This window comes from Homo sapiens, chromosome 1 (genome assembly GCF_000001405.40).
Source record: "Homo sapiens chromosome 1, GRCh38.p14 Primary Assembly".
Lineage (NCBI taxonomy): Eukaryota > Metazoa > Chordata > Mammalia > Primates > Hominidae > Homo > Homo sapiens.
Genome location: NC_000001.11, coordinates 63,440,241 through 63,460,086, shown reverse-complemented (window position 1 = coordinate 63,460,086; position 19,846 = coordinate 63,440,241). Strand labels below are relative to the sequence as shown.

Genomic DNA, 19,846 nt, shown 5'->3' with positions numbered 1-19,846 from the left:
CTCCTTGAGACAGCCTGTAAAAATGTAATGAAATAAATAGAGCTAAACACGGGGGGGAATTTTTTTTTTTGACAAAGAATGTCAATTTTATTTATATTGACCAGATTTTTTTGTGATCAGTCTTCAGGAAAAATGTTTTTAATTAATTTTTATGTGCATAAGAATTGCCTGGAAATGCATATTTCTGACCTTCTCTGTTAGTAGTTCTTGGATGCAGCCCAGAAATTTGTATTTTTAACCATTTACCAAGGAATTCTGATGCCAGTTGTAACTGAATTACACTTTTGGAAATATTATATAATGGTTGAGAACATAGGTCAAACACACCTGGGTTCAAGTCCTGACTGTGCCCCTTGTTATAAAACCCGGATAATTAAATAATTTATTGGTACTTCAGTTTTCATAGCTGTAAAATGGAGACAGTATTTCCCACAGACAGTTGTTTTGAAAATTAAGTAAGATATAGTTTGTAAAGTAGTAAGTATAGTGCCTTAAACTAAGAAAGCATTAAAAAAATGTTAACAATATATTTCATTGTTTTCATAATTCAACTGTCATCCAAAATTATCAGTTTAGGTCAAGGGAGATGGAGATTCAGTGACCTATTTACCTTTTTCTGCGTGAATCATAGTATTGTAAAGATAAAGAAAACCTAAGGAATTCATCCCTGTTATGTACATTTTAATGCACAAGTCTTGAGATTTATAAAAGTACAATTTCTTAGAGGTAATAACTTTCAGATAATAGCTTTTAGTAATAGAATTAATTAGTAGTGTATTTGTGGCCTTTGAGAATGCTGTATTAGAATACTAAGGCAGAAATCTAAATACAAGAGTTTAATTTTAATATGGAGGAAGTGGAGATTGGGTTAGGCTGTCATGTTGAGCAGAAATTTGTGAAAGAAGATTCATTAAATTAGGTACATGGAGAGTTAAGCAGCATTGGGTGCTCAGCAAAATCATACTTCTAATATTGACTGTCAATTCTACTGTGAGACTTTTTTTTTTTTCCATAGTACTGACAGCTTAGACTAGGAGCAATGAAAACAAATAGGGACATCCAGGGTTACATGTGAGAAAGACATATGTGGTGGAAAGTTAGGGAACTGAATTAATTAACTTTGTCAGCAATATAACTGATGAATCATGGAAAATATATAAGACAATATGAGAAGGAAGTAAAAAAATGAGAAAACTGCAGGATGGGCATACTTCACTTGAATCTAGGGATGGATGGTCACTGGACCAGGTCTTTTTTATTCTGTTCATTGATCCATCAAATAGTTACTGGGTCCCTCCCATAACTGCAGGCACTTTATTAGTTAACACAGGTTGTAACAGTAAATAAGGTAGATACCGCCCTTGCCTTCACGGAACTTACAATATGGTAAGGGAGACCTATGTCAAACAATTGGAAGTTACAAAAAAGGAGGGAAATCAAAAATTTTTTCAGGCCATTATCATGGCTTTTACAGGGTTTCACTCTTCTTCCACTATATCCACAATGCCTACACAGTACAGTAGATACCATGGCTTGCATCCGAGGGAATCTATAAATCACTGGGTTCCTTTTTCATCTGCTCTACTCCTTTGCTTCTCATTCTTTCACATCTAGGATGGCACAGCAGGAGCTGAGTTAATGCTTGCTAACACCTGCTTCAATAAATCTGAATTAGAAGCACCAATTTAATACAATTTCTCTTTGTTCTTTTAGTTCTCTCCTCAGAATACATCTGAGGAACTTAATAGAGAAAAAGTAAATGATGAAACTACATTTGAAGCTAAGAATGGAAAATAATTGAAAGAATTGAAAGTGGCCAAGATAGGAAGAACCCAGAACTGGTACAGAATGATAGTTTTGAAAGTCAAGTTACACCTGACTTGAGACTGAAGAAGTTAATGTAGAAGGAAGGAAAAGCAGAATTAATGGATACATCCAATGCTTCTCATGGATTTTATTTGGCTGATGCACCTAATTTCAGTTGTTTTTCAGAATAAAGACTTTTTCTTTGAGGAATGTGAGAGAACTCTGAATTTCACAATGCAACTCTTCTAAGCAAATTGGAAAACTGCACTGAAAATCCTGAATTTTGACATGTAGCTCCCTCAAGAGAAAAACTACGAGATGCTTTAAAAAAATGCTGCTGGGTTTTTACTCTACGATGAAAAAGAAGGTTAATTCAAGGAGGACCAAGACTTCAGATTTCTTAGGTTGTGCTACAGTAGTCTTTGACCACAATGCAGATTTGATTAAATCTTGTAAGGATGCCGTAAAACTGGCAACAGTCACTGGATACCTGGATGTAGTGGCCCATTGACATCTGGATGGCTCAAAGGGTCATTATAAGATAAAGGATTTGGTCCAATTTAGTCTAGCGAGAGGCAAATCTATTTGAGAAAGAAATACTATTCTGCAAAATATGAATGGCACCCAATGATGATACTTTTACTCACCAACTTGAAAGAGCCACAATAACTTTGAAATTTTGTACCATAATGAACTTGAGAAATATATTCTTCAGGCAGCTTGAAAGAAATGAAAGATCGTTGGTTTTCAGGAATAAACAAATTAGTAAAGGAACATCAAGATGATATTAAAAACCAAGGGTCTGTATGCAAACCATAATGCTATGTTAGGGCAACAAAGTGAAATTTGAACCATGCATTGAAAATACAGAAAAGGGCTCTCAGTAGCAATGCATATCTACTTTTCAGCACAAGTAGGATGTTTATGAGAATTCCATTTTGTCTAGGATGAAGAAAGTGGTAGAATTATTTCTCCCAAAATCTGCTCAGCAAATAGTTTATCTCCAAAGATTATGAAGGCTTCTTCAGTGATTCAGAAAGTGTGGAAAAGAATGCCTTGAAAAAAAAGAATTTTTCAGGATTTAACAGTTGTATAACACTTAAAAAACCATTCATGGGAATTTGGTTGCCTTCAAGGTGGGAAAAAGGTGATTTCGTCTAGGGAGAAGAAAAGGAGGAGGAGAGGAAAGGGAATCAAAATAGTAATAAGAAGAGCAATGGCATGTCTACTAGTCCTACTACTTGATCCTGCAATGGATACAAGTGTCCTTGAGAAAGCACCTTCAGCATATCAAAGATGTTTTGAAAACAACTTCCCCAGATAATTGATATTTAATCCATACAAGTCTCCAAGATTGTTAAAACAGTTTGTTTTAGCTTAGCCCCTCAATTACTATCTTAATTTAGGAGAGCTGCTAGTAGGTCCTTTGGGGATGCTACATTATACAACTTTGGGGGGCACCATTTACATCTAACTCTATGTGAACAGAGCCCCTTGGAGACATTCAAGATGGCAGTCCTGCGGGACCTAATCCTTCCCACACAATTCCCTATGGGTTAACAGGGAGTACCATCAGCTCATTAAGATAGGGTAAGACAGTTTGAAAAGGCTCTACTATTCCAGTTCTCCCAGGAAAGGGATGCAAGGTATAAGGCAACAAGCCCCTCAGATTATTTCTCGTAGCAAAGTAACTTATTTGCCTCCACTTTGTACTCCTAGGGCACTCAGTAGGCTTTGGCATCATATATGAGAAGCTAGAGGATCCAGCCTTGGTGGGAGTCCCTTAAGTCCTTGTTTCTTCAGGTCTTTGGATCCAATTTGAAGAAGCAGGAATTCCTTTATGATACCATCTCTCAAACTGAGGTTCTCCTGTTAAGCAATCAGGGCCTCAGACAGATGACTTCTGATTGAAAATACGTAATAAAGGAAAACTTTTAAAGAAAAAAAACACCCAAAATTCCACTGTCCTCATAATTTTTAGCTTTTTCATAATGCTATCAAAAGTCTCTTGTTTCTTGTTCGCATACTTAGATAAAATTTTACTTAGTTGAAACTTACTGTACATATACATTGTATATCAAAATTTTAACATATTTGTCTTATTTTTAATAACAAAAATGTCAATGACTAACACTGATGTAATCTTGAAAAAGCATTTAAATAGAATTTCTGGTTTCTCTCATAAAATCTATATGGATTTATGCTGTTTGAAACAGTACGCACTAGCCATACATGGCTAATGAGCACTTGAAATGTGGCTAGTATGAAATGAGATGTGCTGTTAATATGTAAAGTATACCTGGATTTGAAAAAAGTATAAAATATCTCAATAATTTTTATATTCATTATATGTTGAAATATTTTGAATATATTGATTTAAAATACTTAAACATGAAAATTATTAAAGAAAATTTACCTTTTTATTCCTTTTAGTGTGGCTACTAAAAATTTTAAATTACATATATGGTTTACATTATTTTTCTATCAGACTGTGTTGATATAGATTATCACAAACAGCTGTGGGGTCTTAAAATTGGAAAAGCAACTAAAATTTTAACAATAAGGGAATGTTTAAATCATTTTTAGTATGTTTACTAAATAGAATATTGTGCAGCCTTCAATATGTGGCCCCCCAAAATGTATATAATATTGTATTAAGTAAAGAAAGCACAGCCAGACACCATGGCTCACACCTGTAATCACAGTGCTTTGGGAGGCCAAGGTAAGAGGATCGATTGAACCCAGGAGGTTGAGGCTGCAGTGAGCCATGATCACACCACTGCACTTCAGCCTGGGTAACAGAGGTAAACCCCATTTCTTTATAAAAAGGAAAAAAAAAGTATGATAACAAAGTTACACAATTTTTTTTTTTAAACTAGAAGCATTTTTCCAAAAAGCTAACTGGAGATATGTTCAGAAGATTGAATTCCAAGTGATGTTTTCCTCTTTTCCTTTTCTTTATTTTCATATTTAAAATAAAGTCATAAAACTTTTTTTATTTTAAAAAGAAGTTACTAGGTGATACTGATTCATAGACTCAGATCAAGGTAAATGAAGGAATGGTGGTGTATTAGTGTTCTCAATGTGGCATTGTGGAGAAAGGAACAGCCAACTATGTCTTCCATCCCACTGCTCAGTGGGAATCGGAAAGTAAAACTCCAAAAGAGGGGACAGTTGATAATATATATTGTGTTTGTAAAGAATGAAAGAACCTAAGTCTAAGGTCCTTTAAAAAGAGTTAAAGCTCTGAAAATGATTTGCCATGTTTAAATGCTTCCCCTTGCTAAGTATTGTCTTTTTCTTTATTACTAGATTCATGATGTTGCTATCAAAAGTTGAGAAATTGTCAGAAGAAATCATGGAGATAATGCAAAATTTAAGTAGTATACAGGTTTGCATTTTTTCATACTTCTACCCTGTTTGAAAAGGATAAAATGAAAGAAGTGTCCCAGATTGGAGAATCCAATCCAGGAAAGAGTTTGCATAGAGTATGTTTAATTTACTTTTCATGGGAATTTTTTTTTTAATAGGAGAACACTATTTAACCATAATATTTTAGTAATATCTTGCTTTTCACATTTAAACATAAATTTATAGATTACATTTAGTCTTTTTAGTTAATTATAAATTGTTTTTTTTCAGGCATTTTTGGGCTTGAAATAGTTGGCCTGCCAGAAACAGTTAAATATCCTAACATAAAGTTTAAGTTTTTCAAATGAAGGAAACAATATACTGTATTTTCACTAGACATGTCAGTAATCTCATGTGTGTAGAGAACTTAACTCATTCAAGATGACTTTCTTGTAGGCTTTGGAGGGCAGTAGAGAGCTTGAAAATCTCATTGGAATCTCCTGTGCATCACATTTCTTAAAAAGAGAAATGCAGAAAACCAAAGAACTAAGTAAGAATTTTTGAGTTTTCAATGACAGTAATTTTAAAGATAAACCTATTAATTTGTCTCATTTACATTTGATAGACTTCTTTATATATACCATTACTGGACATGTGATAAAAATACTATTACCTTCTTTAAATAAGAAGCCACATGTCTTTTATCAGGATGTGTTATTTTGGGGATTCTTCTTGAATGTGAATGAAAAGAATGCACCTTGGAAACTGGTAGTAGGCATTTCAAATGTAATGCCCATTTTTATAATATATAATAAGGTATTATATTTTATATTTGGTACTTATAAATATGTATTATTTTGAATTATTTTTTTCTCATGAAGTTGTTTGTTGCAAGTATTGAGAAATTATCCATATTCTATGTTAATTCTTGACATGGGATTTTTACTTCTTTTAGTGACAAAAGTGAATAAACAAAAACTGTTTGAAAAGAGTACAGGACTTCCTCACAAAGGTAAGTAGTTGTGTTTTAGTTTATTACATAAAGATGCTTTCATCCCATTTTGCCAATTAAAACTAATCATCATGAATCCTTTTTAGTGGTTTTCTTTTTTCCTCAGAGATCCCTGTTCTGAAGTATGTTCTTTTAGAAGATCACAAATCTCATTTGAAAAGCTTTATATTGCATTTAGCAGAAGATGATATCTGATGAGATCAACTTCTCTGATGATTGAACTTTTTAAATGTCTTTTGAAATGCAATCTTCAACATAAGATTTGAATTTTGTCTTTTTATTAAAATTTCTTTTTGAGAATACAAATAGGAGCAACAATGCATTAATATACTGCAGTTTTTAGTGTTGCACTAGAAGCATTGAAAGTTACTTTCTAACTAGTATTCTGGAAACTTTCAGATCATTAATATGCTTTGTTCTACTATGAACTCTTATGTCTGAGCATTTCACAGTATGGAAAACTAAATAAACAGTTTTTAGGTTTCCATAGGAAGTACACATTCACACCTTCACACCTCAATAAGCAAAGTAATCATGAACTGTAAAATAGCAAAACCTTTAGACTAATACAGGAGTGATTAATAGTACCTACATGAATGCCATTTAGCAATTTCTGCAAGTGGAATTAGGCCTTAAAATGGGTGGCCGTGTTTTCAGCCTACCACTTTTAAATACCGATGACTGCCATTTATTGAGTAACTATAATTACAAATATTCTGAATACTAGGATCAGCAAATCTTTACAGCAATGTGGAAAGATAGCTACACTGTATTATCATTGTCATTATAGACAAGGAACGAAGACACAAAAAATATTAAGTAACTTGCCCAAGACTTCTACTTAGGTAACAGAGCAAGGATTCCAACCAAAGACCAGTCTGGCCTCAAAAACTCTGGTCTTTTCATTATTCTGTGTTATCTCTTCCTAAAACAAATGAAATCATCCAATCATCTTAGCTTTTAGATTCAAACATGGCACATAATTGAAACTGCTTCACCCAATCTGGTATGTTAGCCTGGGTTTAGAACCTTTAATAAGCCAGTGATCGGTTGGCAATGGAAAGTGCTGGGATTGCCAGCCAGTCAGATCTAAAGGCCAGCTGGGTCATGGCAGGGCTGCAGCCATGGCAAGACTCCTCCAAAGCTCATGTGGGAAGGGAGCTGAATAGGCTTCCTGAGCTTTTCAGTTGAACAACTAACGTCTACTGTGATGCCAAGAATTTAAGAACATGAAAGGTGGCTTTTTCTTGGATGTGGCTTGGGATCTTTTAAAAAAAAAAAAAAGAAAGAAAAGAAAAAGAAAAAAGAAAAATTTAGAGGCAGGATTGTACCCTGTCACCCAGACTGAAGTGATGATTAGTGAAGTGGGATTACAGGCATAAGCCAACACGCCTGGCCTCTTGTCTGTTACTTTAGTTGTGTAATTTGATTAGAATGTGTAACTGGGTTTCAGTGGTTTCAATCTCTCCTAAGTTGACAAGTTTTAGAGGATCACAATAGGAAAGCAAAGTGTTTATTATTTCCCAACTGGAAGAAATCTTGCTTCTATATATTCTACACCAATAGTGTGATTTCCTTAAAAATCTGTAACTTCCTAGAACTAACTAGAATTAGGCTTAATATAGTTGGCCTTTGCAAACAGCTTTGAGAAATAAGGAAGAGGAAAACTCTGGAATAAATAAGTGAACTGTCAATGCTAATAATATAAAGAAAAATTTTTTTAATTTATATTTCATTAAAATATTTTTCCTTCCAGGGGAAACTTTTTTCATTTCCTTATGGACATCTAAAATACATAACTTCATTGTGTGTTTATGCATGATCAGCCTTAAAACTGTTTTCTATTATTTTAGGCATTAAGGCTGACTTGCCCATTACCAGATTTTCCCAAAGGACCGAGTTCCTGCATAGAGGAGACTGTTATCACTAAACCATGTTTGTAAATTTCTAATAATCATTGATTTAAATGAAAACTCAGTTTAAAAAATATATAATACATAGTATCTATATAAGTATGTTATATACTACTGTGTGTTATATTCTATTCTACGTAGTCATTGTCCAATTCTGTTTCTTGGCAGGAGCTACATTAGCTCTTTATATTTCCTGAGGTATTAAAAACTTCATTAGCTTTTTAACTAATTTTGGGAAATTCATATTGCCTAAAAAATAGATTAAAGCTTATTTTTGTTGTAATTTGATTTTGAGCTATATAGTTTTCCTGAGTGCTTTTCCTACCTCTTTCTCTGGTTCCTAACATACATATTAGTTTTGGGGGTTTTTTGTTTGTTTTGTTTTTTGGTTAATGATTATGTACACACAAATGTGCACACACATGCAAATTTTTTGTACTAAGCTAACAACTTTTACCCTTTTCTGCTCATATTCATTTTAAGAGGATTTTGCTAATTCTTTTGACATCTCAAACTAGTTTGCTTTATATGTCCCTCATTTTGCAATCTGGCCTTGAAATTTCCACTTTCTTTTATTTATTTATTTTTATTATGCTATTACACAGAATTGTTTAAATTTTAAAATGTTTTGGGAGTTTGTCATAATATTAGAAAATAAGTAAAATAAAAATCATCCCTATAATATGTATAGGATTTGTTAAGGTAATTATGAAAATTAGAATAAGCCAATTACTTGTTTCACTATCAAAAGAATGTCCTTCAGATTCTTCTGGGTTTTTGGTGGGTTTTTTTGTTTGTTTGTTTTTTGGTCTTTCAGATTCTTAAAAAATTTTCCTGGAATAGTTAAAATAGACAATACCATGAGAATTTCAATATTTATGCTATCATTGCCTCTTCTAATTGGTCTTTTAGTTCTAGTAATATTTATTTTTTCATTTCAGTGGGAATTTCAGTTAATGTCAGTTACAGTCTTTATTACAGGAAGAGTAGAATTATAAAAATAACACTCTAGTGTTTTAAATAAATAGACATCTGACACACATTCTTAAGGCTTTATATAACTTATTCAAGAGAAATTTAAAACATACACAATAAAATTAAAAGGCACACTGAGATTTTCATAGTGTCATAAGAACTGGACCTGGTAAATCAGGGGATGCCTTGATGAGAGTATATGAATAAAAGAGGATCTCCTCTGCTAAACACAGATTTCTTAAACAAAGGAAGGCTTCTTTCTTTCTTCAGTTACTTAGGAAATAAGCCTAATTTTGCTTTCTTCAATAACACTGGCTTTATGACTATTAGGAAAATAATGAAATGAAAGGTTCTTTTTCTGTAAGATTTGGATGTGAATTTTCATAATTATTTTAAATTTGTTATGCTGAAGACTTAAGACATATGACCATTCAGTGGGCTGATACAGATGAAATGTCACATTATCATCACATGGTGAGGCATGAAATTTATTTACTTTACATAATCAACCTCTACTTAAAACAACTTGTTACAGATATTCCTTAGTCAATAGATGGCATTATATAGTAGTTAATATTTTCAGTTTTTTCTGAAGATAATTAAAAATACCATCGTTAGTCTATGACTAGTACTTCCAATAAACAAAATGTTTTTGAAAAGAATGTAAGCAAATTGTAGAGCAGTTGCCAAGATATGAAATCTAGACACTTAGCTTCAGTCCAAAACATATTTTATCTGTTTTGAGAATAATTGTGTAGGTTGCAGTATGCATATTTTAAATGAAATGGAACCATCTGAACTTTACATTGTTCAGTGTTTCAGCTGTTTGTAATAGAAAATATTTCAGAATTTCCAACTTTGGTCTGTTTTAAAAAGCATAAACTACAATGTTCCTGTATTCTTTAGTTAACTTTCTGTATTCTTACATAGTAAAATTCGTCTTGGTTATAGATTTTAAAGTTATCAGATTCTTAGACAACAGGACAAATTTAAAACTCTTTCTGTTCTAACACTATAAAATAGTTTGATATTGCCTCTTCATTCTAACCACCCACTGAAGTATTTTTTAAACATAAAAATATGTTGTTCTTTCCCCAACTCAGGCTTGAAAAAGTATTCATCATATCAGCTGAATAATTTCACTCCCAGAAGACTACTACCCTTTTAGTTTTCTATTTTATCTTAACATTAAACAATATATTTTTTTCAAACAGATACTTCAATTTTAAAAGCACTGAGGTTTGAAGTTTAGACGTGACGACTTTTAGGAGAAACAACAGAAATTCCCCCTATGCTTTAACATTCTGGGTTTATCTGGAGATAAAAAATGAAGCCATTAATTTTGATAGCACAAATATACATTAATGTACAACTATAGTCCTCAGCTCTTTATAATGATTCAGCTATCATGTATGCCATATGTGAATCATAACCTTTCCTATTAATAATGTTAATGCTCTTGTTTTACACGATTCGTCATTGTTTTGGGGTATGCATTTCAGCTGCTAAAAATGCTTACTTGAGATTTGTCTAGGATTTAAGTAAAAATAAACTGATTTATTACTTTTCAAAGCCTTTTAAATAATTTCTTTCATGATTTAAATTTTTTATACTTTAACAGAAGTATGATAATTTTTCTTTCAAATAAAATCAGTAGAAAAAATTTTAAACTATAGATTTGGACTCACTTAATAGCAATTAGGTGTTTAAGAGGTGTAAATAACTTGCTATCAGACATTACAAATATCCAGGTGCTCAGTATGTGCTGATGACAACAAAATTGAAAAGAAAGACTGTAATAATTCTGACTGGTTTTCTCTGCAGAAGATATTGATTATTTGTGTGTGGTGAGAGATTTGGAAAATTCAATTAAAGGAGTTGTGCAAAGGTTTCATAAATTTTCCTTCTACAGCGTGTACACAGACATTGTTGCGTATTAAATCAGTGCAGCACTTCACAATATATTTTCTTTGAAACATAAAAATAAATAACATTTAAACAGTTCTGCTTACTACAGAAACAAATTTTATTTTCTGTGAAGCATTTAGTCATGTGCTATCACTGACTCATACACATTTGCCAGCTGTAACAAATTTTATAGACATTTTCCCCAGAGACATATCTCACATACTATGAATTTTTAAATGAGCAAACGGTGAAGAAGGGATGTCAGCAATATAAAAATTGATCAGTTAAAAGATAAAAGCATAAGTAAAGAGATTTGTATGGTAGTCTTAATAGGTTTTATTAAATAAAAATACTGTAAAAAGACAGTAATGAATAGACTGAAGACTATTCTTGAGGTGGAGAAAAATTATTCTGGCACATTTAGTAGAAATTGGTTTTGTGTCACCTGACAGGTGAACTTTTTTTTCCCATTTTTTACTCTCAGAGTAGTCAAAAAAGCCCCACAAAAAAAGAGTTAGATAAATTATCTAAGTGGTTTACATATTTTAAACACAATAAAGCAAATGTTTATAGTATTATATAACTAGTTATATAGTTAAAAGCAGGACTTGGTAATTATTAAATATTAGGTGATTTTTCCTCCAGTTCAGACCTCAGATAAGAGGAGGGTAGTCATTTTTATTCATACTATTCACACCAAGTGCTTCAGCCCTCTGGAACCTCTCTTTCAGGACCCCAGAACACTTTGCTACCTTTCCCTCTGCCTAGATTGCTTTTTTTTTTTTATTTTTTATTATACTTTAAGTTTTAGGGTACATGTGCACAATGTGCAGGTTAGTTACATATGTATACATGTGCCATGCTGGTGTGCTGCACCCATTAACTCGTCATTTAGCATTAGGTATATCTCCTAATGCTATCCCTCCCCCCTCCCCCCACCCCACAACAGTCCCCAGAGTGTGATGTTCCCCTTCCTGTGTCCATGTGTTCTCATTGTTCAATTCCCACCTATGAGTGAGAACATGCGGTGTTTGGTTTTTTGTCCTTGCAATAGTTTACTGAGAATGATGATTTCCAATTTCGTCCATGTCCCTACAAAGGACATGAACTCACCATTTTTTATGGCTTCATAGTATTCCATGGTGTATATGTGCCACATTTTCTTAATCCAGTCTATCATTGTTGGACTTTTGGGTTGGTTCCAAGTCTTTGCTATTGTGAATAGTGCCGCAATAAACATACGTGTGCATGTGTCTTTATAGCAGCATGATTTATAGTCCTTTGGGTATATACCCAGTAATGGGATGGCTGGGTCAAATGGTATTTCTAGTTCTAGATCCCTGAGGAATCGCCACACTGACTTCCACAATGGTTGAACTAGTTTACAGTCCCACCAACAGTGTAAAAGTGTTCCTATTTCTCCACATCCTCTCCAGCACCTGTTGTTTCCTGACTTTTTAATGATTGCTTTTTTCTCTGTCTTACAAACTCCTGCTCATCCTTTAAGGTCAGCCTCAGATGTCACAACCTCTGTGAAGCTCTCCCCAGCTCTCCTAGGTAAAGCTAAATTGCTTCATCTTTGAGGCTCCCACAACACTTGTCTGAATATTTTAAATGTATCATGTTGTAGTGCATTGTAATTGCCTGGTTACAGGACTCTTTCTGGGCTCCTCTTTGGCAGACAAACAAAAAGTCTTATCTATGTATGATAGTTCCAGAGCCTAGCACAGTGCCTGGATAGAGCCTGGAAAGAAGTTCCACATGCAGTACAGCCAATGTGTGATGAATGAAAAGAACTTTTTTTAAAGAATTATCTAAGTATTTTCAAATACTTATAAATTGCTATTTTCTTACCTCATTAATGTTTATTGAGTGCCTACCATGCTCCAGGCATTATTCTAGCATTGGGAACACACTGACAAACAAGGCAGACATAGTCCTGCCCTCAGGGATATAGAATCTAGCACAAATGACAGTCATTTTAGTAACCATAAAGAGTGTACTAACAATGGTAATAAGCATGTATTGTAATAAATGTCTTGGAAGTTTTCGTAATAAATTTGAAAATGTATATTCTGAAATAGAATCAGGCTAACTATAGCATGTTGAAATGAGAATTTATAGCCTTAGAGCTGCTATTAGTATAAAACAAGACTTCAGGTTGTTTTAATTTCATTTTGCTTCAACATTTATTCTGCATCATATACTGTGGCAAGTTGCTTTGAATTGTTTTCTGAAAAAAAAAACCTTTCTTCTTTCATATAGCATCACGTCATCTTGACAGCTATGAATTCCTTAAAGCCATTTTAAACTGAGGTACTGTTTCACCTTTCTAATTTAGTTTAACCTTGTGAAATTTCACTGTGTTTTGTTCAGGTGGAAACATTTTATTTACATTATCAGATTTGGTATTGTCTTCCTGTAAGAAAATAGGGATATAGCTTTGGAGCTTTAGTTGAACTTATATTAATCTAGTCTTATCAACAACAGGAGGGCATCTGACATCAGTTAGAGGCTGATTGGAAAGAACTGTTGAGCTGACGACGCTAACTTTAAAAGTCAGAGAGGACACATTTTTAACTGAGTGTAAAAGGGTCCTTAATCAAGCATCTTTCATATAAATAGCTAAATAGACTAGCTAAATAGATGCTGACAAGTGGACTATAGTTTCTGTAGGACACATCTGACTGAACAAGATATAACTAGTCTGTTAAATTTGGAAATGTGCTAAATTAAGTAAATAAATCTATATTTATTAGTTATACCTTGCCTTCAGAACAATTCCTATTGATTCAGCAATACAAGTAAAAATGATGTGTTTATAAATAGCTTATTATAACAAATAAGCCAAAAGCAATATGAGTCATGATATATTAGTGTTTAGTATACCTATAACTGAAGGTTCACATTAAGAACTGACATTGGCTGGGCATGGTGGCTCACGCCTGTAATCCCAGCACTTTGGGAGGCTGAGGCAGGTGGACCACTCGAGGTCAGGAGTTCGAGACCAGCCTGGCCAACATGGTGAAACCCCGTCTCTACTAAAAATACAAAAAATTAGCCGGCTAGCTTGCGCCTGAATCCCAGCTACTCAGGAGGCTGAGGCAGGAGAATCGCTTGAACCCAGGAGGCAGAGGTTGCAGTGAGCTGAGATCACGCCACTGCACTCCAGCCTGGGCGACTGAGTGAAACTCTGTCTCAGGAAAAAACAACAACAAAAACTGGCATTAGGGGCTAGGCATGGTGATTCATGCCTGTAATCCCAGCACTGTGAGAGGCCAAGGTGAGAGGATCGCTTGAGCCCAGGACCAGCCTAGGCAACACAGTGACAGACCATGTCTCTACAAAAAAATAGAAAAATAAGCTGGGTATGGTGGCGCATGTCTGTAGTCCCAGCTACTTAGGAGGCTGAGTTGGGAGGATCACTTGAGCCCACGTGGTAGAGGCTGTAGTCAGCCATGATCACTGCACTCAGCCTGGGTGACAGAGCGAGACCCTGTCTCCAAAAAAAAAAAAAAGAATTCTTAGCTTACCAGGTGTTTTGCCTGCTATCTCTTAGGGGAAAAAAAATCAAAGCACAATTAAAGAATTATATTCTACCTCCAAGATACTTTTCTTTGGAAATGGTATCTCAAGTGATTAATATTAGCTTCCTGACAAGCTAGTCTTAATATTTGCAAAGCATCTTATATAGAAAATTGTGTCCGTTTTTTATGAAAACGTTTATTCTGTTGTATGTAGTAACAATAGCTTATATTCTGTTGTTTGCAGTGAGTAATAGCTTATAATAATAGCTAATATTTATTGAGTACTTTCTGTTGTTTTGTTTGTTTTTTGAAATGGAGTCTTGCTCTGTCACTCAGGCTGGAGTGCAGTGGCACGATCTCGGCTCACTGAAACCTCCACCTCCTGTATTCAAGTGATTCTCCTGCCCCAGCCTCCCGAGTAGCTGGGATTACAGTTGAGCACCACCATGCCCGGCTGATTGTTTGTATTTTTATTAGACATGGGGTTTCACCATGTTGGCCAGGCTGGTCTTGAACTCCTAACCTCAAGTGATCTGCCTGCCTCGGCCTCCCAAAGTGCTGCAATTACAGGAATGAGCCACCGTGCCCAGCCCTATTGAGTAATTTCTATGTGCCAGCAGTGTTATAAACACTTTATACGTATCCCATTTAATCTTCACAACAACGTATGAGGCAAATACAGTTATTACTTTTATTTTATAGGTAAGGCAATTGAGGCACAAACGAGGTTAAGTACCTTGTCCCAGAATCACCTAAAACAGGGCCAGGATACTAAACTGAGTAGTCTGGTGCCAGTGCCTGTGCTCTTGCCACCACCCAGTAGTAATCTGTGAATGTCAGGTTTCACTACTGGCCAAGGTTTTTATATCCTGTTAAGTAAGGATAATATATAAATATTATCCTTATAAATCCTATATGTAATAGGAGATATATATATATTGTAATAGGAGATATATATATATCTCCTATATGTAATAGGAGATATATATATATTGTAATAGGAGATATATATATATCCTATTATGTAATAGATTATATATGTCCTATATGTAATATCCTACATATATGTACATATATACATATATATCCTATATGTAATATATATATCCTATATGTAATATATATATCCTATATGTAATATATATATAGGATATATATATCTTATATATATCCATCCACATACACTTATATTCATTCATTATAAGGTTACCATTTTACAAAATTTCTGACCCATGAAAATCCAACAGAGAACATATTAGGTGGTGATCATAGATACATCGTCACAGTTACACATTTAGTAAATGAACGTGCAACATTTAGTGTTTGATAATCTCTGTAATAAACTTACAGGGAATTCAGAGTACTGAGAATAGCTTTGTGTTAATGGATTTTAGTAAAGATAACCACATTTTGGGGTGTTCTTTTGAGTCTTTGAGTAATACTTTCAAGAAACTGGAAAGAATTAAGGTTGAGCTACCAGTCAACTTCCCTTTCAGTGAGAAGCAAAAGAGCAATGACAGTGAAATTAAGTGACTTCACCTTTGAGGCATTTCCCTCAGTTCTGCCTTTCACCATGTTTTCATCTCACTTTGAGCATTTCCTTCATTATCTCCTTCGTTCCCTGACTTTTCACTTTAGTGTATATGGTTTCCAAATTATTATAGTCTCCTGGGCTATAAACCCACAATCTCAGCTGCCATACAATGTCCCCCAAGTATACTGATTTCATCATTTCCCCTCCAAAGATGTTTTTCTTCTACCTTTCTAGGGATTATATCATTCCATTGGTCAAATTCTCTCTCTCTTTGTCCCCACATCCAAACGCTGCCAGATTATATTACTTCTGAGAATGCTTAATTCTCCTTTCCACACCCACTGTACCAGTTTATTTCTCCATTACCTCTCTTCCAGATTATCATTGTCCCTATTGTAACCTACCTGTCTGCACTTTGGTCCCTTTCCCCTACAGCCTATCCTGCTACTGGACAAATGTATGCTTTAGAAGGTATCACTCTACCATATGTATGATAAAATCCAAATTTAAACTGACATTCAGGAGTCTCCCTGATCTGCCCACAGCTTACCTTTCCAGTTTCTTCATTGTGCCTTATTCATTCCAGATTACTTGCCATTTCTCAGACACCTTCCCCAGAAAGTGCCTTTCTCATGTCCTTACCTTGGGTCTTGTCTGCTCAACCTAGCATGCCTTTTCCCTCATTATTGTCAAAATTTTACCCGTCTTTCAAAACCTGCTTAGAACTCATCTTCTGCATAAGCTTCCCCAAATCCCTCTCCCCCATATTCTCTCATTGCTCTTTTGTATATTTGTCATAGCTGCCTGACTGGTATGCGTAAGGGAGGATGTGAATGAAACTCCTGATTTTGTCCTTATGCCCTAGAAACCTGACAGTACTCCTGATATCACCGTGGCCAACTTCCCTACCTGCACAACTGCTCCAGCCCTCTGTCACACTTCAGTGATTATTCCTCTTGACCTGTAATTGTTCAGTGGGGAGGACTGTCCCATACAGATTCACTCCCAGAGCCTTTAAAAAGTGAAGCCTTTGTGAAACAATGCTAGAATAAGAGAGAAAGTAAGGGTGACAGCAACCCAGAGGCCACAGCCAGAGTGCTAAGACCATCAAAAGATGGGAAGAGAAAAACATTTTGGCTAATGATAACGGGATATTGGGATACTTTAGTAACAATGTGGATGAATCACTTGGGTAACACAAGGATGAGGCTTAGTATGAACAAAGCGCTGTGTATTATGACAGTTTGAAACCTAATAAGGACACAAAATATAAGGCAAGTTATGATAAATGATACAAGTTCAGACTCTTCTAAGTTCTGGCCAATAACAAGTACAAACAAGGATTGTGCATCCAATGAGGATCAAAGTATCAACTTGATTGGTGGTGGAATTGATAACCCCCAACATGGCAGGCTCTCTAGTAGAAGCTTGGGGTAACTAAGGTAGATTGCCTTAAAGCAGAAATGCAACCTCTTCTTTCTCACACTAAGTTTAAATCTTGAATTCTGTGCACTTTACTGAACCTAAAAGCTGGATCTTTTAAATAGACCCCCAAGTCCGTGTGACTGTTAATGCTGTGAAGACCACAAGCCTGCCTTTTACATGCTTGACTGCAGGTCAGCACAATAGAATGGGTTGGTCTCCCTACTACATGAAATTAGGAAGTATTATAATAAAAAAGGTCCACTGGGATTGAGAGTAGACAGTGATAGGGAAACTACAAGGAGGGAAGAATTTGTGTAATGTTACTAGTAAAATGTAGACCAATGAATGTTCTGGACTTTGGCCAATCAAATTTGTCACACTTCCATGGAGTACAGAGGAAGAGTTGACAGAAGTTTCTTCCCCTTCAGACTGAGAAGTATTATTCTCTACTGTAAGTACCAAATGAAGAATAAGCAGTGTTATGGGAATTCACAGCAGACAGATCACCTCAGGATGGGATTATCTGTTTGTTTGTTTTTGTTTTTTAAAGACAGGGTCTCGTTCTGTCGCCCTGGCTGGACTGCAATGGTGCAATCATAGCTCACTGCATCCTTGACCTCCTGGGCTCAAGCAGTCCCTCTGCCTTGGCCTAGGAGTACAGGCATGAGCCACCACCCCCAGCCTTATTAGGTCATTTTTAAAGATCTCTTCCCACATGCCCTGTGGTAATGTATGCCATTAGTTGCCAAAGGCTGCTTCCTTCAAGGGCTTTCTCTCACAGAAGGATTCTAAGGCTGAAGAGACATGAGCCTCTACCACCACTAGGAGTCCCCAGAGGGACATATTCTGAATAGGAATCTGTCATAGTAAATACTGTCTTTTGGGCGGGGGGCAGCTGTTGGAGGAAACACCTGCTGAAAGGCCCCTAAGGCTTATAGACAAAGGCATGTAAATAAGTTTTCTGTAGGCCCTGTTGGAGTTTTAAAATTCTCTGAGAAGTATCTCATGTAAGTATGGTCACATAAGGTAAAGAATACTGAGTGCTATGTCAGAGTAGTCATATTGACAGTTACTAGTGAAGATAATCAAAAAGCAAATAAGGCCGGGCACAGTGGCTCATGCCTGTAATCGCAGCACTCTGGGAGGCCGAGGTGGGCAGATCACGAGGTCAGGAGTTCAAGACCAGCCTGGCCAACATAGTGAAACCCCGTCTCTACTAAAAATACAAAAATTAGCTGGGTGTGGTGGCACACACCTGTAGTCCCAGCTACTCAGGAGACTGAGGCAGGAGAATCACTTGAACACGGGAGGCAGAGGTTGCAGTCAGCCGAGACCATGCCACTCCACTCCAGCCTGGGGGAGAGTGAGACTCCGTCTCAAAAGAAAAAAGCAAATGAGAGGTTGCCAGCAGCATCTAACTAAACTAGGTACCAAACTAGATTGTTATTAGGTGTTAAAATCACTTCTTAAGTCATGTATGACGTGCATGTTAACTAATTCTTGATAATATAATTATCTTTTATATCTCACAGGCATTAAGAAGAAATGCACTCACCATGAGCACCAACTTCTGCATCTGCCTGATCATATTTAAAGGAACAGAGAAATATTTGTAATTAATCTGCCCAGTAAATACCAGCTCGTAGCAGTTGGCAGGTGCATGTCTAGATAAAATTTCTTGCAGCTAATTTAAACTTTCTACACGCACCAGTAGATAATCTCAATGTAAATAATACATTTCTTCTTGGCTCTTTAATGTAAGCCAACATGGAGAGGAAGATCTTGACTTATATTCTGTACCACATACACTTCTGTGGACTTTTAGCATTTGTGGGTAGACTTAATAAAGCATGTATAAAAGTGGCACCTTTGGTAGAACTCTGTGTTTTTCTGAAATTCAGATTAAATGTAATGATGAGTGGAATTAAGTACCAGTTTTCCCATTTAAAGCCCCAGCTGCTTATTAATTTATAGATTCTGTAGAAATTTTTTTAAAGATTTATCTAGTCTATTGTGTAGCCTCTATCTCAGGAGTGAGTTTTTATTTTCCTATGCTTATAGAGAAAAAAACATTTTCAAGGTTTTAAAATTTTACACCATTTATAAAATATTAGAGTGTATTTTTTCAGTACAAATGTTTAAAATATGAAGTTTTTTTTGAACTAAACTACAAAGAGTACTGAATTTAAAGAAAAGACCTTTATTAAGGGGCAATATGTGATCCATTCCAAATTATTTTGAAATATTAAATTTCAGTTATTCTGTGGTGTTTTCTGTCATCATCATGTTTTTGTTGTCACTCCCAAAATAAAGGGGAGGAGGGAATCACAGAGTATGTTATCTTGATAGTGAAACCTCTGCTTTTCTTGACCATTTCTGTAAGGAAAACTGCTAC

The 19,846-nt window shown here is 35.2% G+C and overlaps 1 protein-coding gene across 15 annotated transcripts in view; it reads left to right on the top strand.

Annotated features, from left to right (window-relative positions):
• Positions 1-19,317, top strand: part of ITGB3BP (integrin subunit beta 3 binding protein) — an 88,418-nt gene extending 69,101 nt beyond the window's left edge. For 4 of the 15 annotated variants that reach the window (XM_024446042.2, XM_024446041.2, XM_017000853.3 and 1 more), the window contains 4 exons: positions 5,119-5,197; positions 5,614-5,707; positions 6,113-6,169; positions 8,023-10,629. In XM_024446042.2, the coding sequence (XP_024301810.1) occupies positions 5,119-5,197; positions 5,614-5,707; positions 6,113-6,169; positions 8,023-8,099 (307 nt within the window). In that variant the 3' untranslated portion in view covers positions 8,100-10,629. Of the gene's footprint in view, positions 1-1,713; positions 2,211-5,118; positions 5,198-5,613; positions 5,708-6,112; positions 6,170-8,022; positions 10,630-12,472; positions 12,523-13,230; positions 13,288-18,983 lie in introns of those variants that run through there. The other 11 variants (NM_001347148.2, NM_014288.5, NM_001206739.2 and 8 more) reach the window with 6 other exon arrangements.